Source organism: Homo sapiens, chromosome 2 (genome assembly GCF_000001405.40).
Source record: "Homo sapiens chromosome 2, GRCh38.p14 Primary Assembly".
NCBI lineage: Eukaryota > Metazoa > Chordata > Mammalia > Primates > Hominidae > Homo > Homo sapiens.
The window spans coordinates 44,712,886-44,732,426 of NC_000002.12; the positions used below are offsets into that span (position 1 = coordinate 44,712,886).

A 19,541-nucleotide genomic window follows, 5' to 3' on the forward strand; every position below is an offset into this window, starting at 1 on the left:
TGACCTAAAGTAAGGGGTGGGGAGCAGGATGTCTGAATTTATCTCTTAAGGTAATATTTTAATATACTGTTGACATTTTTTCTTCTCATGCTCATTTTAATATTTAAAAAAACCTCTTAAACCACAAAACTTATTTCCTGTCCAGTTCTAAAAATAAAGCAGCCTAAATACTGCTGTCGAATTTTTTTATTTAAAAAATTGCTTCTAGAATATAAATACATATGTTTGCTTCAGCCTGACCACCTGGAGTCACAGGTTTATAAATTGTATAAAAGTATATAGTGTTAAGATGTTTACTAAAAATTATTAATAGGTTTTCTGAGTTATATAATTTAACTTCCCTGAGACTATTTTATAAAAAGTATTACCTCCACTAACAAAATAATATGTTTTGCTTGATAGATTAGTCATGTACTCATACGACTCTACAGGTGTACTGGGCACATTATGGCATGCGGTTGGATGCCATGGAAACTCTAAGGAGGGTGTGGCCAGAGTGTGGGGGAACTTAATCAAAAACAGTTGTCAGCTGACTCTTTACTAATTTTGTTCTTCTCAGAATAAAGATGTCAGCTGTCCTTTTCTGCAAGACATTTCATTTAGAAGACTTTCCTGAAATAATTTCTTCCTGAAATAGACAGAACTGTAGGCCGATGTGTCATTTTAGTTAATCAAAACAAGTAGGCAAATTAGTCTCTTTTATTTTTTTAATGAATGTAATTTAACGGTATTTAATTTGCATACAGGAAAGTTCACCCAGGAAAAAAAAAGTCTGCATTATAGCACTTTTGTAAACCTCAACAAAGCCCTTCATTAGCAGACCTAATTGATTTTTCCTACCCACCCCTGGGGGAAGAAAGCTATCACAGTACCTGCTTATTCACTCAGAGAAGAAATGGGTGTGCCTGGTGGTTCAAGCAGAGATTTGGGTTAAAAAGTCCTGTGGCTCTGTTTTTGCAGGGAGATCTTGGTCAATGCTTGCTTTGAGCATTCAGGAAATTTGTTTTTCTGAGCAATAGGAGAACATCGCTTGTCTGCTTGGTGTCCTCCCCATGGGCCCAATTTAGTTCAACTTGCAGCCTTCACTGGAATTATTTTATTTCTTGTTTATGTAAACCTGCCTTATTCCAAAAGAGGGATTTTGAGGCTTCTTACCATGACACATAGAATATATCATATAAAATGAATGGGAAAGTGAGGGCAGTTGGAAATTGGAAAGCCAGGAAAATATGATGAAGCCAGGAATAGAGGTCAGTAGAGAAAACATACGCAACAGGGTCTTTTGTGGTTGTTAGAGTTAGGCCACACATTTGGCTCTGAGTTGCACAGGTGCTGGAGCAAAGAAAAAGAGGATCAACTCTAAGAGTTATAGTGCCAGGAAGTGGAAGCAACATCCCTTGATCTGCAGACCAGCCTTTCCTGGTGCTGAAACCTGACTATTTTTTCCAACAGGCCCTTGTAAATATGGCGCTGGGTGATGTAATGAACCAGCTCCTGAAAACATGTCTTCCATAAATGTGGCTCTTTTGTACAAGTCCTTCCATGCCAAAGGCCATAGCGTAAGTCTGTAAAGACAGTTCTTCAGGGGACTTTTCACTCAACTGACTTTCTTCAGTAATTCATTTTCTCTCAAAGATTCTCCAAGATTTTCTTCATCTTTTTCTTCTCACTTCCTCCCAAGTGTCATCCTGCTGCTCCTCTCCACCCCTCCCTAGCAGCATTTAGGAGATTGGAAATACTTCACACTGGAAAGTCTCAGGAGACTGACATTGCTCTCCCTGCTGACAGAGAGGCTTGCCTTTGGACTCCTTGCCCTTTTAAGCAAGTAGGACATGGCACCTATGGGACAGTCATTTCCCACCAGCACTCATAACTCTGGGGCTTGCCATGATGATCCATCTCAGGTGATAAAATGCAGCCCAGGGAAGTAAAAGAGCTTGCCTGTGGCAAGTCAGCATCCTGCTTCACACCTCACATACAGCTCTTCTCCTTTCGCTGTGCTCATCCCATGTATGATAAAAAGATTGGCCAGGCGCAGTGGCTCACACCTGTAATCCCAGTATTTTGGGAAACTGAGACAGGTGGATTACCTGAGGTCAGGAGTTCGAGACCAGCCTGGCCAACATGGTGAAGCCCATCTCTACTAAAGATACAAAAATTAGCTGGGTGTGGTGGCTCATGCCTTTAGTCCCAGCTACTAGGGAGGCTGAGGTGGGAGGATCACTTGAACCCAGGAGGTAGAGGGTGCAGTGAGCTGAGATCACGCCACTGCACTCCAGCCTGGGCAACAGAGCGAGACCCTGTCTCAAAAAAAAAAAAAAAAAAAAGATAACTGTTTCTGGACCTTTTTTTTTGGTCACTTCACAATCAGTGCAGATGTTTTCTTAACTGTGTCCTGTAGATGTGCAAGACATCATCACAAGGAATCAGAAGGCTGGTGTGTTTAAGACCCAGAAAATATCAAGCTGGTAAGATACCTTTCTGCATTAAAAAATTCCCATTGAAATTGCTTTTCTTGATACTATGGATGGTTATTAAAAATAATAATAGCTAACATTTATTGAGCACCTGCTGTGTGTCAGGCACTGTTTTAAGCACTTTACAAGTATTATCTCATTTAATGCTCATTGGAATACTATGAGGCAGACAGACACTCTCATTAGCTCCAATTAATAGATGAGAAAACAAGATAAGTATATTAAACACTGGGTTGGGGATGATTTATGATTATACAGTATGAGGTTGGGAGAAGCCAGGCCTGGGAACTCCTTAAATGGCTCTCTTCCAGTGAGTCTCAGCCTAGGAGCAGTTTTGCCCCCAAGGGGACTTTTGGCATTCCCTGGAGATATTTTTTTTTGTTGTCATGACTTGGTAGGAGAGCGGGGAATGTTGCTACTGGCATCTAGTGGTAGAGACCAGGGATTCCACTGAACATCCTATGTTGCTTAGGACACCCCCGTACAACAAAGAAACATCTGGCCCAGAATGTCAATAGTGCCAACACTGAGAAACCCTGCTCTGTTTCATGATTTTAAAATAGTCTAGGTGTCCATTCGCTTTTAGATTCTGTTAATTCTTATACAAACTAGGAGGAATGCTTGCTCTTAGCCACAACAATGGTGTGTTCTGTGATGCTACATTTTATTTTTGCCCTGTTGGTAATGGATCTAGAGAAGTGAGTAATCATTTCATAGTTTTCACATGAAACAGCTGTATTTGTGCATTTTTTGTCATTCATTTAACCACAGACTTTATTAGAATAACTCTCTGTTAAATTAATTGTTTTCTTTATTACTGTGAAGCTGTCATCATTTGGTATTTTGAATTTTCCCTATGGTAAAGACACTTTCCCACCCCAACTTCCCAGTTTGATTTTTTTTATTAGTTATATAAACTACTCATTAACAGACAAAGCCCACAGACTGATTTCTCTTGGACACACCCACGATACAGCCCCGGCAGCCAGTGATCTTGGTGTGCTGGCTTCGGACATGAAAATAGCTACAATGCTTAAAAACCAAAGTGATGACACATATTGGTGTGAGGCTATGGAATAGCAATAATTTTTTTCTCTTATATTAATTGGTGAATGTAATGAAGTGTCCATAGTGTATTTTTAAATCCTGTTTAAAATGTTGGGAGTAAGCTGGTGGCACAGGGGACAGCATATTCTGTGTTTCTCATATAAATGAACAAACCACTTCTGTTTCCCAGAAAACCTGGGGTAGGTTGAGAGAAAGAGAAAGGGTCTGCCGTTACCTGTGGGGTCCTCATTGTTAGGACAGCCTTTCCTTCACAGTGCAGACGGCCTTACCCTTCTGGAGAGGACTTCGTTTTTGGACATGATTTTCAACCTGGTCTTTTAGTTATCAATCAAAAGTGCATTTTCTATGTTGTCCTCATTTACATTTATTTAATGTTTAAGGTCATTTGTGAGCATTTGAGTGTATTTCAGCATATGGAATCAGGGAATAATAGATTTCAGCTTCATGCTGTGAAGAGAGATTGTGTTTTTACAAGACATAATGTTGTTTACTGGGTGTTAATAATCACTAATTAATAAACATATCTAGACATCTAAAATGTTGCATTTTGAGGAACAAAAATGTCAAGTGTTTAACTTATGGAGTGCAATGGTATTTTCTGTCATCTCTTCATAAAATAATTAAGTTACATAAACAAGCAAAATGTCATTATTCAACAAAGGACATATACCAAATGCTTAATACATGGCCTTTGTTTCTATTTTTCTGTTCTCAAAAATGCTATTTCTAGATATATTGCTCTGATATGTACCTGGACATATAGACTATATGTCAATAATAGTCATATAGAAACCTCCAAGATGAGGATGGGCTTTTTTTGTCATCTTCATCTCATACTAATTGTGGTCAGTTTCTTTTCTTTTGACCCCTGTAAGCATTTTGTTCAAAGTCTACTAAAGCACTTTCTAGTGAACAGGTAGATGAGTTAGTCCTTGAAATGCCTTGATCTTATATTAAGGAGTGACCTGATCACTTAACTGTCAAGAAGCTAAGAGAAATGGCCAGCCACTGATGTAATAATCAGTATTCTCCCTCCATCCACTGCTTTCCCACCCATAACCAGTACAATGTGATGAAAGTATTAGTTCCATGAGAGAAGAAATAAAAGGAAGCCATTCACAAAAGAGCTAAGATAGAGTTCAATATTCTTTTTTAGTGCCTCAGTGCATATGCAGAATTTCTCCTCCAAATTGGAGATGTGGAATAAGAGTAGTGACAGATAACTAAGAAGTATTTACCATAGCTATAAAGCCCACATGTGAGCCAAATATTTCTGCTATTAAATAGCACTTCAAAGCTTGACATGAGGTTTGTAACAGCTGAATGTCTCTTGTGACTTCATTTGCAAAGAAGATGTATAAGCTGAAAGGAAAGTCGTGGTATGAGAACTATAAGCCTAAGAAATGGTATTTAAAAAAAAAAAAAAAAACAAGCTGCCCAGAAATTTGACTGGCACCCAAGCTCCTATTCCCACTACTCCGATGATGTTCTCAGTAACTATCAGCATTTCTCCTGCTACCAACCTCTTCCTACCTCTTACACAGGGGCAGACCCAGGTTGTGTGGGGCCTGAAACTTATTTTGAGGGCCCACTTAGGAAGAATGAATTCTATTATACCTTACTTTGATAAATTTTACAGAAATATATGACCATGTGAACACATTACTAGGGCTTGTCCAAGGGCCTTGGAAGGGGCCTTGCAAGAGGCTCTGACGCTGAACCTTCATTAGCTTCACAGTCAATCCACCTCTGCTGTCATAAGCACCACCATCCTTGCCTAAAGTAACTCTTCTCTTAGCTACCAAACTTTCCTGCTCCCTCTATCCATTTTAATCATAGTCTGATTGTAGCTAAATGTGAAAGACATGCTGGTGAAAGTCTGGAAGCCTTAGCCCTAGCTGAATCTAAGATCCACATATATGAAGAATTATATTCATTACATCTCAGCTTAATGCAGTCATTTGGTTTATTTGTTGTCCATCCATGCAGCCATCCATTCACTTAACAAGTATGTCCAAAGTACTCTGCTTTTGAGAATATAAATATGCAGTTATCAAAAATAATTCTTGAACAAAGGAAACCATGCTACTAAATATAGCTAGAGATTGATGAAAGAGCAAGGATATTTACAGTATCTCAATTGTTGGGTTTATCTAAAGCTGTCTTCAAAATTGTGACTGTTTAACAAAGAACCATTTGGAGCTTTTGACGTCTACGTATTTCTAGGTCTTCCAGAATTAGTGAATAGCGTCATTCTCTGGTTAATATTAGTTGAGAGTTCTTAAAAAGTCTATTAAATTTACCCTGCTGTGATGATGTAAGTAAGTTTCACTTAAGAATGTATGTATCTTTGTGTGAAAGTTGCTAGTGAATTCAGGTTTATGACCTTTATTATTCTTTGATAATCCATGAATTTTAGTAAACTATGGAACTTGTGTTAAGACTTTTTTTATAACCCAAACTTTACCTTTATGTGGGCCCCCAAGATTGGTTATTGGTCCCATTGCCCTATTGCTTTTTAAAGATTTATGCCTCCTCTGAGACTCAGTTTCCTTTAGAGGTTAAAATGGGGATGTGGAAAATGATTTTTGAAAGGTACGTTCCAACCAAGTAGAATCCAGTGGTTGATTTTCCTGGGCCTTCTGCAGTCTGCCCTTATATCCACATCTCATCTAGCTGCTGCCTCCTCTTTTGGTTACCCTGGACCCCTCACTTGCCTCCGACAGATATGATCTCTCCATCTCTAGTCTTTGCCATTCTTGTTTCTCTCCTCTTCTCCATCTAAATCCTTCCTTCTAGGATGGCTCCACTGCCATTTTCCCCTTGCCTTCTCAGCCTACCCTAATCTTTTTAATTTCTGCTGCCCTTAGAATAGTACCACAGTTGAACATGGCATAGTTTCTTTTTGTTCAAAGCATGTTGGCTTTGTTTGCATGTTCACTGGTTTATCTACTTGTTGACAAATATTTTGACCACCTTCTGTTTGCCAAGTCCTATTCTAGATGCTAGAGATGGAGTGGTAAACAAGATGGAAAAGGCCGTGCCTTCTTGGAGTTTATGTCCTAGGGAGGGAAACAGATCATGTTCTTGAAGGCAAGAATTCTGCTTAATATGTTTTTGTACTCCCTGAAGCAATTAGTACACTTTATCCTTGGTATATGAAAGCTTTTAAAATTGGTATTTAGAGAACATTTTGAAAGACATGAATCCATAAGGCTTATGGAACCAAACCATTTTTAGTAGAGGAAAGTCAAGCTCTAGAGAATCAGACATCCATTTCTACATCAGATAGCTGACTTTCATTTCAGTGTTGGCCTCTTCTCAGGCATGCGCATGTAGTGTCTGTAGACAAACTGACAGTGTGAGTAGGCATTTATCTGTTCTTTGTCAGGTTGAAGAGGAAGGTTAGTAGAAGGTAACTGAGATAAGGAAGCTGAAGGCTCTCTTTAAGAAATTTTCTGATAAAATATACCTGTTAGTGAGTTTTGCTAGAATTATAGTAACAGAATCCTGAAGACCGCTGAGAATTCTAGAGATGCCACACTCCTGTTTCCTTCTGTTGCTATCTTGGCTATGACAAAATGAAATTATCATGTGTACTTTCTGTTACTAACATAACACTGTTGATTTGCTTAACAGGTTTATAGATGGGCTCATATCCCTACTATTTAGTGTTTTGCACTGAAGACACCAACTCCCATAAGAACGTTAGCCGGTTCAGCTATTTTTGATAGAGTTATCCTTTTTGTATTAAAATGAGCCAGACTTTAAAATAGGAGGATGCTGTATTTTTAGGGACCCTCTTAAACTACAGTCAATTAAAAATTAAGGCCTTTTATTTTAGAATAACATTGTATTGATTCTTTGGATTTGCCCACTTCTACTTTTTACCAAGGTCAAAATCTCACTACCAAAAATAGGCCAGGTGCTGTATTGATAGCTAGGTATGCAAGTCAGACTACTGTATTCTCTGTGAAAATGTCTTCTGGTTTTAAGAGAGAAATCCTTCTCCCTTCACAGAATTTTATATTGCAGAAGTTACATATCAATAAAAATATTTTTATTTTCAAAGGAGTTCTTCACTTAAAAATAGAGCCATCTTAAAAAACTTTTTTAGAGAATGGCCACATGATAAATCATTGTTAAACAATCATTTATTTTTTACCTTAATAATGGACATTAGTTTGTTTTCAATATTTTGTTATTATAAACTGCTGCAGTGAGACACATCTTTACATAAATTATACATTTGCAAGTGTGTCTACACAACAGATTTTCAGAAGTGGATTGTGTCTATTTGTACAACCCTACCAAACTGCATAATTTTTGTCACTATAACTTTGTAATATATTTTCATATTTCATATTTACTAAGACTTGACATTTTAAAAACTGGGAGTCTTTCTATGCAAGAACAGGTATTCTCTTTTTAAGTTTTTAAAGGTGTTTCACTAGCATTTTTATTTCTCTTAAGTTTATTTTTAGAAACTTTTTGTTGGTCTTACAAATAGGGTTTTTTCTTCGATTATATTTTCTACTTCCATTATGTTTTACTATGGGGTTTGATATAGTAAGCGTTTAGTCACCTCAGTGGGTTATTGTTTTGAATATTTTGCAGGTTTATCCTCTTGAGTTTTCCAAACAAACAATCACATCATCTGCAGATGATGACAATTGTAACTTCTTTCTAATTCTCATACCTCCTTTTTCTCTCTTGTATAATTTTATTGGATAAAAATATCCACCATGATTATTAAATAATAGGCATCTTTGAGTCTGACTTTGTTGGGAATCTACTAATTTTTCACCATTAAGTATGCATTAGCTTTTGAGTTGAGATAAATATGATATTTTTTATCTTCTTAAAATTTCTTAAGAGATGTTATCACAAGTAAATATGGAACTTTAGCAGATATCTTTTCAGCACCTATGGAGATGTTCAAATTGCTTTCCCTATTTTATTTGTAACTATGACAAATCATATCAAAAGGTTTCCTAATATTGAAACATCCCTGCATTTCTAGTAGTTACTTATTCACAGTGTCTTAATTCTTCTTTTAATATGCTTCTGTGTTCTAATAACAAATTATCTGAGATTTTTGAAAATTACAACTTTATTGAGATATAATTTACTTACTATACAAGTCACCCACTGAAAGCATATATAATTAAATGGCTTTTAGTGTATTCACAGAGTTGTGCAAGCATCACAATCATTTTAGAGTATTTTCATCACCCCCAAAAGAAAGCTCATACTTGGCCAGATGTGCTGGTTCACACCTATAATCCCAGCACTTTGGGGTGCCGAGGTGGGAGGGTTGCTTGAGCCCAGGAGTTCGAAATCAGCCTGGGAGTTTGAAATCAGCCTGGGCAACATAGTGAAACCCCATCTATTGAAAAGAAAAGAAGAGGAGAGGAGAGGGGAGGGGAGGGGAGGGAAGGGGAGGCCCTCATACTCATGCCCCTTCCTCACTCCTCCCTCCTCCCTTCCAGGGCTAGGCAACCACTGATCTATGTTCTGTTGCTATGCCTTTGCTTATTCTGGACATTTCACATAAATGGAAGTGTATAATATGTGGTCTTTCACATCTGGAATCTATTGCTTAAAATAGTGTTTTTAAGGTTATTCATGTGTAGCATATATCAGGGCATTTGTCATTTTTGGTACTATTCCATTGTATGGATAGACCACACTTTATCCACTCATCAGCTGATGGACATTTGAGATGTTTCCTTTTTCTTTTTTCTTTTTTTTTTTTTTTTTCTATTCTGGATAATGCTGCTATGAACATTTGTGTACACATTTTTGTGACAAGTTTCATTTCTCTTGGGTTTATATGGTCACATGGTAACTATATTTAACCTCTTGAGGACCTGCCAGACTGTTTTTCAAAGTGGCTGAACCACTTTAAGTTTTCTACCAAAAAGTATATGATGTTTTCTGAGCTGCTTGCTTAGATATTCATCAGTAAAATTGGTCCAGAATTTTCTTTATTGTGCAATCTTTGTCTGATTTTAAATAGCACTGACATAATAGCTATTTAAAAGAATTTTGAAGTTTGTCTTATCTTTTGAACCACCTCTTAGTGGGTTGCCCTACACTGCTACCATAATTCTAGATCAGAACAATTTTTACCCCATTATTTTGTACGTGATATTTGGAGATATAGTGGCAAGAAAGAACAAAATTACATTAAAAAATGCACTGCACTTGAAAGTATGTAAGTTTGAAACATTAAAAAAAGGAAGAAAAATAAATGAAAACACCAAAAAGCAATAAATAATTTTGTGATTTCATCTGAGATGGTATATAATTGTACTTTCTAGTCCATTCATTCTAATATTTTGTTGTCACTTTGTTTTGCTACTATGTAAGTTAATCAGCTGTCATAGGATCAGAGATACTTGAAACGGAAAATATAATTAGTAAAATAATTAGTACCTTTCATTTCAAGGTCTTGAAACCCTTTCTAGTCCTCTTTAACCAGTGCAGAATATACTGGTCCCCAGCATGAGGGGGGTCTGAATGTTAGGAAAATATCCCTCTTTTGGACTCTGAAATAAGTTCATTTCTGCTAAATTCCAAACAAAAACACAGAGCTGGGATCAGTTTTAAAGTCAGTCCAGAAAAATGTAAGTGATAAGCTGGAACAACAGTTCTCAAACTTTGTTCTCAGAATCATTTGTAGAGCTTGTTATGACACATTCTAGATCCCCACACCCTGAGAGACTGAGGCAGGCCTGGGGTTTTGCATTCTAACAGGTAACTCTGACGCCTGGTCTGGAGCCCTCACGTGGGGACCACCAAACTAGAGTTCTCGCTGAGAGCTTCTCATTCAATTCTGCAGTGTTCCATTGCTTTAAAATTGTTCAAATTTTCTTGCCGGGAGTTGTAGCTCATGCCTGTAGTCCCAGCACTTTGGGAGGCCAGGGTGGGTGGATCACGAAGTTGGGAGTTCAAGACCTGCGTGGCCAACATGGTGAAACCCCACCTCTACTAAAAACAGAAAAATTAGCCAGGCGTGTCGGCGGGCACCTGTAATCCGAGCTACTTGGGAGGCTGAGGCAGGAGAATTGCTTGAACCTGGGAGGCAGAGGTTGCAGTGAGCGGAGATCACACCACTGCACTCCAGCCCAGGAGACAGAGCAAGTCCATCTCAAAATAAATAAATACATACATAAATAAATAAATAAATAAATAAATAAATAAATAAATAAATAAATAAAATAATAAAGTTGTTCAGATTTCCATTCATTGAAGCCACTTCCATCCACTGTATTTTCTTGCTTATTTCGTAGATGTTATGCACTTACAAGAAAGGAAAGGACCTGACTTACAGTCAGCTCTCATTTGTCTGGAATTCATTAATCTTACAGGTCTTCTGAGGTAAACATTTCATTGAGACCTAATTTTTCTTCCCCCTCGCCTTTCTCCCAGCCTTATTCCTAGTCCAGAAATGTAAAATAATTTTGTTTCATGATAAAATCAATGAAGTTGATCAGATAATCTGTTTCAAGGAATTTACATATGTGAAATCCTGTTTTGGTTAATCTGTGATGTTGCTTCCTTCTCTGAGATAAGGGAAGTGTTCTTAATCAAGTCTGTCCTTAGGGGAACTGTCACTTCTCTGGAATGGCACTTTCTTTAAATGCTTGGGACTAAAAAGCCTAGGCCTGTGGCTAAAGAATGTTCTAGCCAGGTGCAGTGGCGTGTGCCTGTAGTCCCAGATACTAGGGACGCTGAGGCAGGAGGATTGCTTGAGGCCAGGAGTTCAAAGCTGTAGTGTGTCATCATCCTGCCTGTGAATAGCCACAGTACTCCAGCCTGGGCAACACGGCAAGATCCCCTCTCTTAAAAATTTTTTAAAAAGAATATTCTAAATGTAAATTCATACAGGTAGAGATCTTCTGAAACGAGATTTTCAAAGTGGTTCATGACCCATCATCACCTGTAGTGCTAATTTTAAAAACAGGTTTCCAGACATCACATAAACCTTGCTGAAGCAAACTCCATAGAGTTGAGGTTCATTTGAACAATCCGACATTTGAACAATCTGACAGTTGAATCACCTTCTCAGGTGATTCTAATATATCTGAAGCACAGAGCATGCTTCGAGAAGCCCATTTTATATCCCTGGATTGTTGCTCAGATGAGTAAACTGAAAGCGTGAGAGTGAATCCATGGATAGCCTCTGTTTGTCATTAGAAGAGGCATTTTTTCACTCTCATGTGAGAGCTTTACTCCCCACATTGGACTCTGAATTTCTATGGTATCATCTTAGTGAAGATGTGACCTCAGTGGAAAGGGGAAAGTTGTATAGATAAGAAAGTAATTCTGATTCGTTTCTTGTCTACATCACAGCTTTTAGTTGTTGGGATTCAACAAGAAGCACATATCGGAGGTGGACAGGCCTGAGGGGATAGTCCAACCACAGCTCTCAACCAGAAGTGGACTGTGTGTCCACCTCTGCACTGTTTGTAATCATATGGGACATTTTTGTTTTATTGTCACAATAGCTAAGTGCTATTATGGTACTGGGAAGAGCAGCAACTGTAAATATTCTGCAATGCAAGGGACAGTTCACCACAATGAAGAATTGTCCTGTTCCTCAAGACTATCCCAGCTGAGAAATATTAGTTCCAGACTAGATGAGAAATGGAGATCCAAAAATATTGCCTGGATCTCTTTTACAGCATTGTCTTGCTTTCTGGACGTGTGTGTGTGTGTGTGTGTGTGTGTGTGTGTGTGTGTACCTGTATGCATGTGAGTGCTATATCGGTCTTACATACATTCTTCTTTAAATAAGGGCATGGAATTGATTTTTCTAATGAATAAAAGTTTTTTGCCTAAAATATTTTACTAAGTTGCTATTCTAGTCCAACTTTTATTATTCAGTTCAGTGCAATGAAATATAATTTAGTGTCTGCTATGTGTAAGGTACTATGATGGGCTTTTTATGGGTTATAAAGATTAAGGTGAGGTTTCTGCCTTTAGTAAGCTCAAGATGTCCAGACAAGAGATGGACATTTCCCCAGCTACCAAGTTACAAGACAGAGTCTGCTCTAATTGAGTTAACCATGCTATGTGAGTATAAAGAGATCTGCCAATTCAAGGTGGAAGGATCTGAGAAAGCTTCATGAAGGAGGTGGACCTTGAGCTGTGATCTAGCAAATTAAAGATAACGAAAGGAAAGAAGTTGAAGTGGGCATTCCTGGTATAAAAGGCAGGGAGGAAATAAGAGGTAGAAGTAGAAAAGATGTGTCCAGCCAGATTTAGCTATTTGTGATAAATAGAGAGAGGCTAGAGGCAGAAAGACCAGTTAAGAAATCATCACACTGGGGTGAAAGGGGAGATGAATGAGACAGAGCACATGAAGGGACTTCTAAGGTTCCAAGAGAAGTTCTATTTCTTTTTTTTTTTTCAACTTTTATTTAAGATACAAGGAGTACATGTGCAGATTTGTTAGATGGGAATATTGCATGATGCTGGGATTTGGAGAACAGATCCCATCACCCAGGTAGTGAGCATAGTATCTGATAGGTAGTTTTTTAAAACTGCCCCCCACCTTCTAATAGTCTGCTGTGTCCATTGTTCACACATATTTATATCCATGTGTGCTCAATGTTTAGCTCCCACTTATAAGTGAGAATACGTGGTATTTGGTTTCCTGTGCCTTTTTGGTAGAATGATTTGTTTTCTTTGGGGTATATACCCAGTAATGGGATTGCTGGGTCGAATGGTTGCTCTGTTTTAAGTTCTTTGAGAAATTTTCAGACAGCTTTCCATGGTGGTTGAACTAATTTACATTCCTATCAACAGTGTGTAAGCGTTCCCTTTTCTCCACAGCCTCGCCAGCATCTATTGTATCTTGACCTTTTAAGAATAGCCATTCTGACTGGTGTGAGGTGCTATCTCACTGTGGTATTGATTTGCATTTCTCTGGTAATTAGTGATGCTGGCATTTTTTATATGTTTGTTGGCCGCTTGGTGTATCTTCTTTTGAGAAGTGTCCGTTCACGTCCTTTGCCCTTTTTAAATGAGGTTATTGTTTTTTGCTTATTAAGTTCCCTAGAGATTCTAGATATTATGCCTTTGTTGGATGCATAGTTTACAAATATGTGCTCCCATTCTGTGTATTGTCCATTTACCCTGTTGGTAGTTTCTTTTGATATACAGAAGCTCTTTCGTGTAATCAGGTCACACGTGTCTATTTTTGTTTTTGTTGCAGTTGCTGTTGGAGACTTAGCCAAAAATTATTTGCCAAGGCCAATGTCAAGAGAGTATTTCCTAGGTTGTCTTCCAGGATTTTTGTAGTTTGAGGTCTTACATTTAAAACCGTAATCCATTTTGATTTAATTTTTGTATATGGCAATAGGTAGGGGTCCAATTTTATTCTTCTGCATATGGTTAGCCAGTTATCTCAGCACCATTTATTGAACAGGGTGTCCTTTCCCCCTTGCTTGTTTTTGTCAGCTTTGTTGAAGATCAGATGGTTGCAAGTGTGCGGCTTTATTTCTGAGCTTTCTATTCTGTTCCATTGGTCTATGTGTCTATTTTTATACCAGTACCAAGCTGTTTTGGTGACTATGGCTTTATAGTATAGCTTGAAGTCAGTAGTGTGGTGCCTCTGGCTTTGTTCTTTTTGCTCAGGATTGTTTTGGCTATTTGGACTCTTTTTTTGGTTCCATATGAATTTTAAAATAACCTTTTTCTAATTCTGCGAAGAATGACATTGGTAGTTTAATAGGAATGGCCTTGAACCTGTAAATTGCTTTGGGCAGTATGGCCATTTTTACAACATTGATTCTTCTCATCCATGAGCCTGGAATGTTTTTCCATTTATTTGTGTTGTCTTTGATTTCTTTCAGCAGCGTTTTATAGTTCTCCTTGCAGAGATCTTCTACCTCCTTGGTTAGCTGTATTCCTAGGTATTTCATTTTCTTTGTGGCTAATTTAAGTGGGATTGTGTTCCTGATTTCACTCTCAGCCTGGACATTGTGTAAAGAAATGCTACTGATTGTTGTACATTGATTTTGTATCCTGAAACTTTACTAAAGTCATTTATCAATTCTAGGAGCCTTTTGGCAGAGTCTTTAGGATTTTCTAAGTATAGAATCATATCAACAGCAAAGAGAGATAGTTTGACTTTTTATTTGGATACCTTTTATTTCTTTCTCTTTGCTAATTGTTCTGCCTAGAACTTCTAGTACTATATTGAATAGGAGTGGTGAGACTGGGAATCCTTGTCTTGTTCCAGTTCTCAAGGGAAATGGTTTGAGCTTTTGCCCATTCAGGATGATGTTGGCTGTGGGTTTGTCATAGATGGCTCTTATTATTTTGAGGTATGTTCCTTCTATGCTTAGTCTGTTGAGGTTTTTTATCATGAAGGGATGTTGGAGTTTATCAGAAACTTTTTCTGCATCTATTGAGATGATCATATGGTTTTTGCTTTTGATTCTGTTTATGTGGTGAACCACATTTATTGATTTACATATGCTTGTTTGTTTTTAGAGACAGGGTTTTACTCTGTCACCCAAGCTGGAGTGCAGTGGTGTGACCATGGCTCACAGCAGCCTCAACCTCCCGGGGTCAAGCATTCCTCCTTCCTCAGCCTCCCAAGTAGATGGGACTATAGGTGTGTGCCACCACACCAGGGTATTTTTATTTTTATTTTTTGTAGAGACAGGGTCTAATTTTGCTGCCCAGCCTGGTCTTGAACTCATGGACTCAAGAAATCCTCCTGCCTCGGCCTCCCAAAGTGCTGGGATTACAGGCGTGATCCAGTGCACCTGGCTGTTTTGTGTATGTTGCGCCAGCCTTGCATCCCAGGAATAAAGCCTACTTAATCATGGGGTATTAATTTTTTGATCTGCTGCTAGATTCAATTTGCTAGTATTTTGTTGAGGATTTCTGTGTCTGTGGTCATGAGGGATATTGGTCTGAAGTTTCCTTTTATCATTGTGTCTTTGCCAGAGATTGGTATCAGGCTGATGCTGGCTTCATAGAATGAGTTAGGGAGGAGCCCCTCCTCCTCAATTTTTTGGAATAGTTTCAGTAGGATTGGTATCAGTTCTTCTTCATATGTCTGGCAGAATTCAGCTGTGAATCCATCTGGTCCAGGGCTTTTTTTTGTTGTAGGTTATGACTGACTTAATTTCAGAAGTTGATGTTGGTCTATGCAAGGTTTCCATCTCTTCCTGATTCGATCTTGGGAGACTGTGTGCTTCCAGGAATGTATCCATTTCCTCTAGATTTTCTAATTTGTATGCATAGAGTTGTTCATAGTAGTCTCTGAGGATCTCTTATATTTCTGTGGCATCAGTTGTAATGTCACCTTTGTTGTTTCTGATTGTGCTTATTTGTATCTTTTATTTCTTTTTCTTTGTTAAGATAGCTAGGGGGTCTATCCTTTTTTTTTTTTTTTTTTTTTTGAGAACCAACTCTTGGTTTCATTGATCTTTTGTATGGATTTTCTATTTCTTAATCTGGGTGGTGGTTAGAAGGGTGTTTGCCTGATAATAGTTAAGGCATGTATTTATTCCGTGTGGTTTACTGTGTCTTATTTCACAATACAACATGTCTTTTGTTTTTTTAAAAAAAAAAAGCCATTTCAGTAGTACCGGAGAGAGAAAAAGAGGGAGCCCCAGCCTGAATGAGAGTGGAAAATGGTGAGCAAATACGGGGTCATTCCAGAGAAGTGACTGTACGTAGAATGTAAAATAGAGGCAGAGTAAGAGATAGCCATTTGGAAATTTACATTTGAGGTGGCAGTAGAATAGATATGTGACAGTAACTACAAGAGGTTAGAAATAAAAGTTCAGATCTCAGAAAAAATATTGTGCTAGAAGATTTGGAGATCAAAATCAAGTGATCAGAACATAACTACGGGAATTGGAAAGTCAGAAGAGAAGATGACCAAGGACAGAATCTTAGAAAATGTCTGTGTGTCAGGAGTAGTAAAAAGAGCCAGAAAGGGATACTAAGAAGGGACTGGAGAGCAAGGTTGATGGCTCAGGGTGGTACGGTATAATACCACTTCTTAATGGAAGAAGTCCAAGAAAGCATTTCAAGGAGAGTGTGGTTGGCTGCTGCAGATTACTGAAGGTAGGTCAGGCAGATTGCAAAGTAGTTCAGTGACTGTTGGAAGAAAGGTCATATCATCAGGGCAGGTGAAGCAATGGGAGTGTCCACTCCCATAAGAATGTTGGTGGCAAAGGGAGAGAAGTTGTGTGTGTGCTAAGGGGAAGCTGAGGTGGAAGAGTTGAGCATGTGATCAGGCAAGCCGCTACAGCCAAGAAAGAAGAAAGAAGAAAGAAGTGGAGACAAGAAAGGGAAATATTTGATGAGGCAAAGATCTAGATCAGGGCTTCTCAAAGTGTGGCCCCCTGACCAGCACCACCAGCATCAGTTGTATACTTGTTGGAAATGCATATTCCAAGGCCCCACCTCAGACCTGCTGAATCGGAAACTCTGGAGTTGAAGCTCAGGAATGTGTATTTCAACAGACTATCTAAGAATTATGATGTATGCCGAAGTTTGAAAACCACTAGGGAAGAGGAAGGGGTGGCTTTATCCAGCACACAGATGGAGAAGTTCTCCTTAATGAGAAGAGTGACCCTACTTCCTTTTAGACAAGAGGAAAGGAGAAAAAGAAGAAGAGGAGAAAGATGGTATCAGATAGATAGCCTCAGGCTTTCTGTAAGGTCACCTGCTGAGAACAAAGACTTGGGATATTTGGGGAGCTTAAAGCGTGAGTGTGTTCATTCCAGCCTCCAAACCCTGGCCTCTTCTTTAGGCTTTGTCTGATATGTCCTCTTGCTTCTTCATTCCCCATCCAGATCCTGTGTGTAAGATCACATGCAGTTCCACCTTCTTCAGGATACCTTCCCCAACTTGTCCAGTCCACAGTGATTACTCCTTTGGTAGTACCTTACTTACATAGGGCCATCGGTAATTCTTTTGTTTCATTTGAATGTCTTGTCTTCCGAATATGACTGTATGTTCCTTTTGACGATTATGATTTTGCTACTTGAGGAACATGTCCTCATTGTACTGCTGCTCACAGCATCCACTGAGGCTTCAATAACATTTATAGACAGACGACTCCCAAATTAGGAAGTCAACGGATCAATATCCCCTTTCATTCTGAGTTTTCAATTCCAGATTTAGATGGTGTCCTTTTCTCTAAGTGTTTAAAACACTTTCTTAGAGAGGCTTCTATGATATGGAAGTTTAAAACTCTATAAAAGATAAGGAAAATTGGAGGAGAAAGTGGCAAATAGGAAATCATTTGAAAGAAGAGAAGTGATTCACTGGTTTGGGTAAACACTGTAAATGACTTGAACACTGTAAACACTGTAAATGGCCCTCTACAAGAGTGAGCTGTGCCAACATAGACTTTGAGAAGTGACATAAAAGAAACTGTGGGAAAGGATACTGGAATCCTCTGTAAAGAATGCCTATAATAGCCATACAAAGAACATGGCTGCCTTCCCTACTGCTGGTAAGATAGCTTGTTTTTGAAGTTCATTACATTTAGCAAGCATGATCAAGAATTCTATCAGTGCACTACTTTCACAAATACACAAGAAACTACCTTTTTAACAGCAGAGTTTAAAACCAAGACTCAGCCGGGCACAGTGGCCCACACCTGTAATCCCAGCACTTTGGGAGGCTGAAGCGGGTGGATCACTTGAGGCCAGAAGTTTGAGACCAGCCTGGCCAACATGGCGAAACCCCGTCTCTACTATAAGTACAAAAATTAGCTGGGCATGGTAGCACATGCCTGTAATTTCAGCTACTAGGGAGGCTGAGGCAGGAGAATTGCTTGAACCCAGGGGGCAGAGGTTGCAGTGAGCTGAGATTGCGCCACTGCACTCCACCCTGGGTGACAGAGCAAGACTCTGTCTCAGAAAACAAACAAACAAAAAACAGGACTCACTCCCCTACAGCCAGGAGTCTGAAAATATAAAGGTAAACAAAGAAGTACTAAACATGAGAATATGAGAAAATAAATTCTTTAAACCTCTATAGGGAGAGTTATCTGTGATCACTGCAATGAAATACAAATTAGGGTGAACCCATTTGACATTAGGTTTTATTACAAACTTGAAACAGAGACTCTCTGTTTGAGAAATTCTTTCAGTGTGAGTTTTGCATCACAAGGTAAAAATCCTATCAGAAATTGACTTGGTTTTGTTTTTCAGATTGAAACCCCAAACTCAAAGCCAGAATGAAAGGACATAAGTTAGTACAAGAATAAGGGAAGGGAAACTAATATTTCTTGAGCACCTATAATGTGGTTTCATTTACTCCATCTCTTTCAATTCTTAATGAGTCCTGTGATGCAACTCTTACTGTCTCTTTTTTACAGATGAGGGCAATGATACTCAGCATCTCTCATCTTCACTGCCTTGCGTTTGAACTCAGAGCTATCCAGCTACAAAGCCCATGCATTCTTTCTGCTATACTATACCTGTTAAACTTCATAGGTTTGGCATGTCCATAGCTGTTATGATTTTTCTTTATTTTTAAAATTAGAGACAGGATCGTACTTTGTCATCCAGGCTGGAGTACAGTGGCAAGATCATAGCTCACTGTAACCTCAAATTCCTGGACTCAAGTGATCCTCCTGTCTCAGACTCCTGAGTAGCTAGGACAACAGGTACATACCACCACAACTGGCTAATTTTTTATTTTTTTTGTAGAGACAGGGGTCTCACTATGTTGCTTAGGCTGGTCTCAAACTCTTGGCCTCAAGCAATCCTCCCACCTTGGCCTTTCAAAGTGCTGGGATTACAGGCATGAGCCATAGTGCCCAGCCAAGATTTTTCTAAAACATGGAGAATTCTATAATGATTATTGATTTTGTAATGTTTCTGCTTACAAAATTGTATTTTACTTTGTAATGAATTTTGAATGGAAATAAGATTTTAATATTGTGATGAAATAAAATGGAGAGAATATAAATTTTACTTTGGTGTCAGTGTAATTACA

General features: G+C 38.5%; 1 protein-coding gene across 11 annotated transcripts in view; it reads left to right on the forward strand.

The window, feature by feature from the left end:
- Positions 1-19,541, forward strand: part of CAMKMT (calmodulin-lysine N-methyltransferase) — a 410,646-nt gene that overhangs the window by 350,939 nt on the left and 40,166 nt on the right. For 8 of the 11 annotated variants that reach the window (XR_007081736.1, NM_024766.5, XM_011533111.3 and 5 more), the window contains one exon: positions 2,402-2,468. The exons of 1 other annotated variant lie outside the window; for it this stretch is intronic. Coding sequence is in view for 6 of the 10 variants with exons in the window: in NM_024766.5 (NP_079042.1) it covers positions 2,402-2,468 (67 nt within the window). In the remaining 4 variants the exon portion in view is untranslated. Of the gene's footprint in view, positions 1-2,401; positions 2,469-10,843; positions 10,932-19,541 lie in introns of those variants that run through there. 2 more of the 11 variants (XR_939723.2, XR_939722.3) reach the window with 1 other exon arrangement.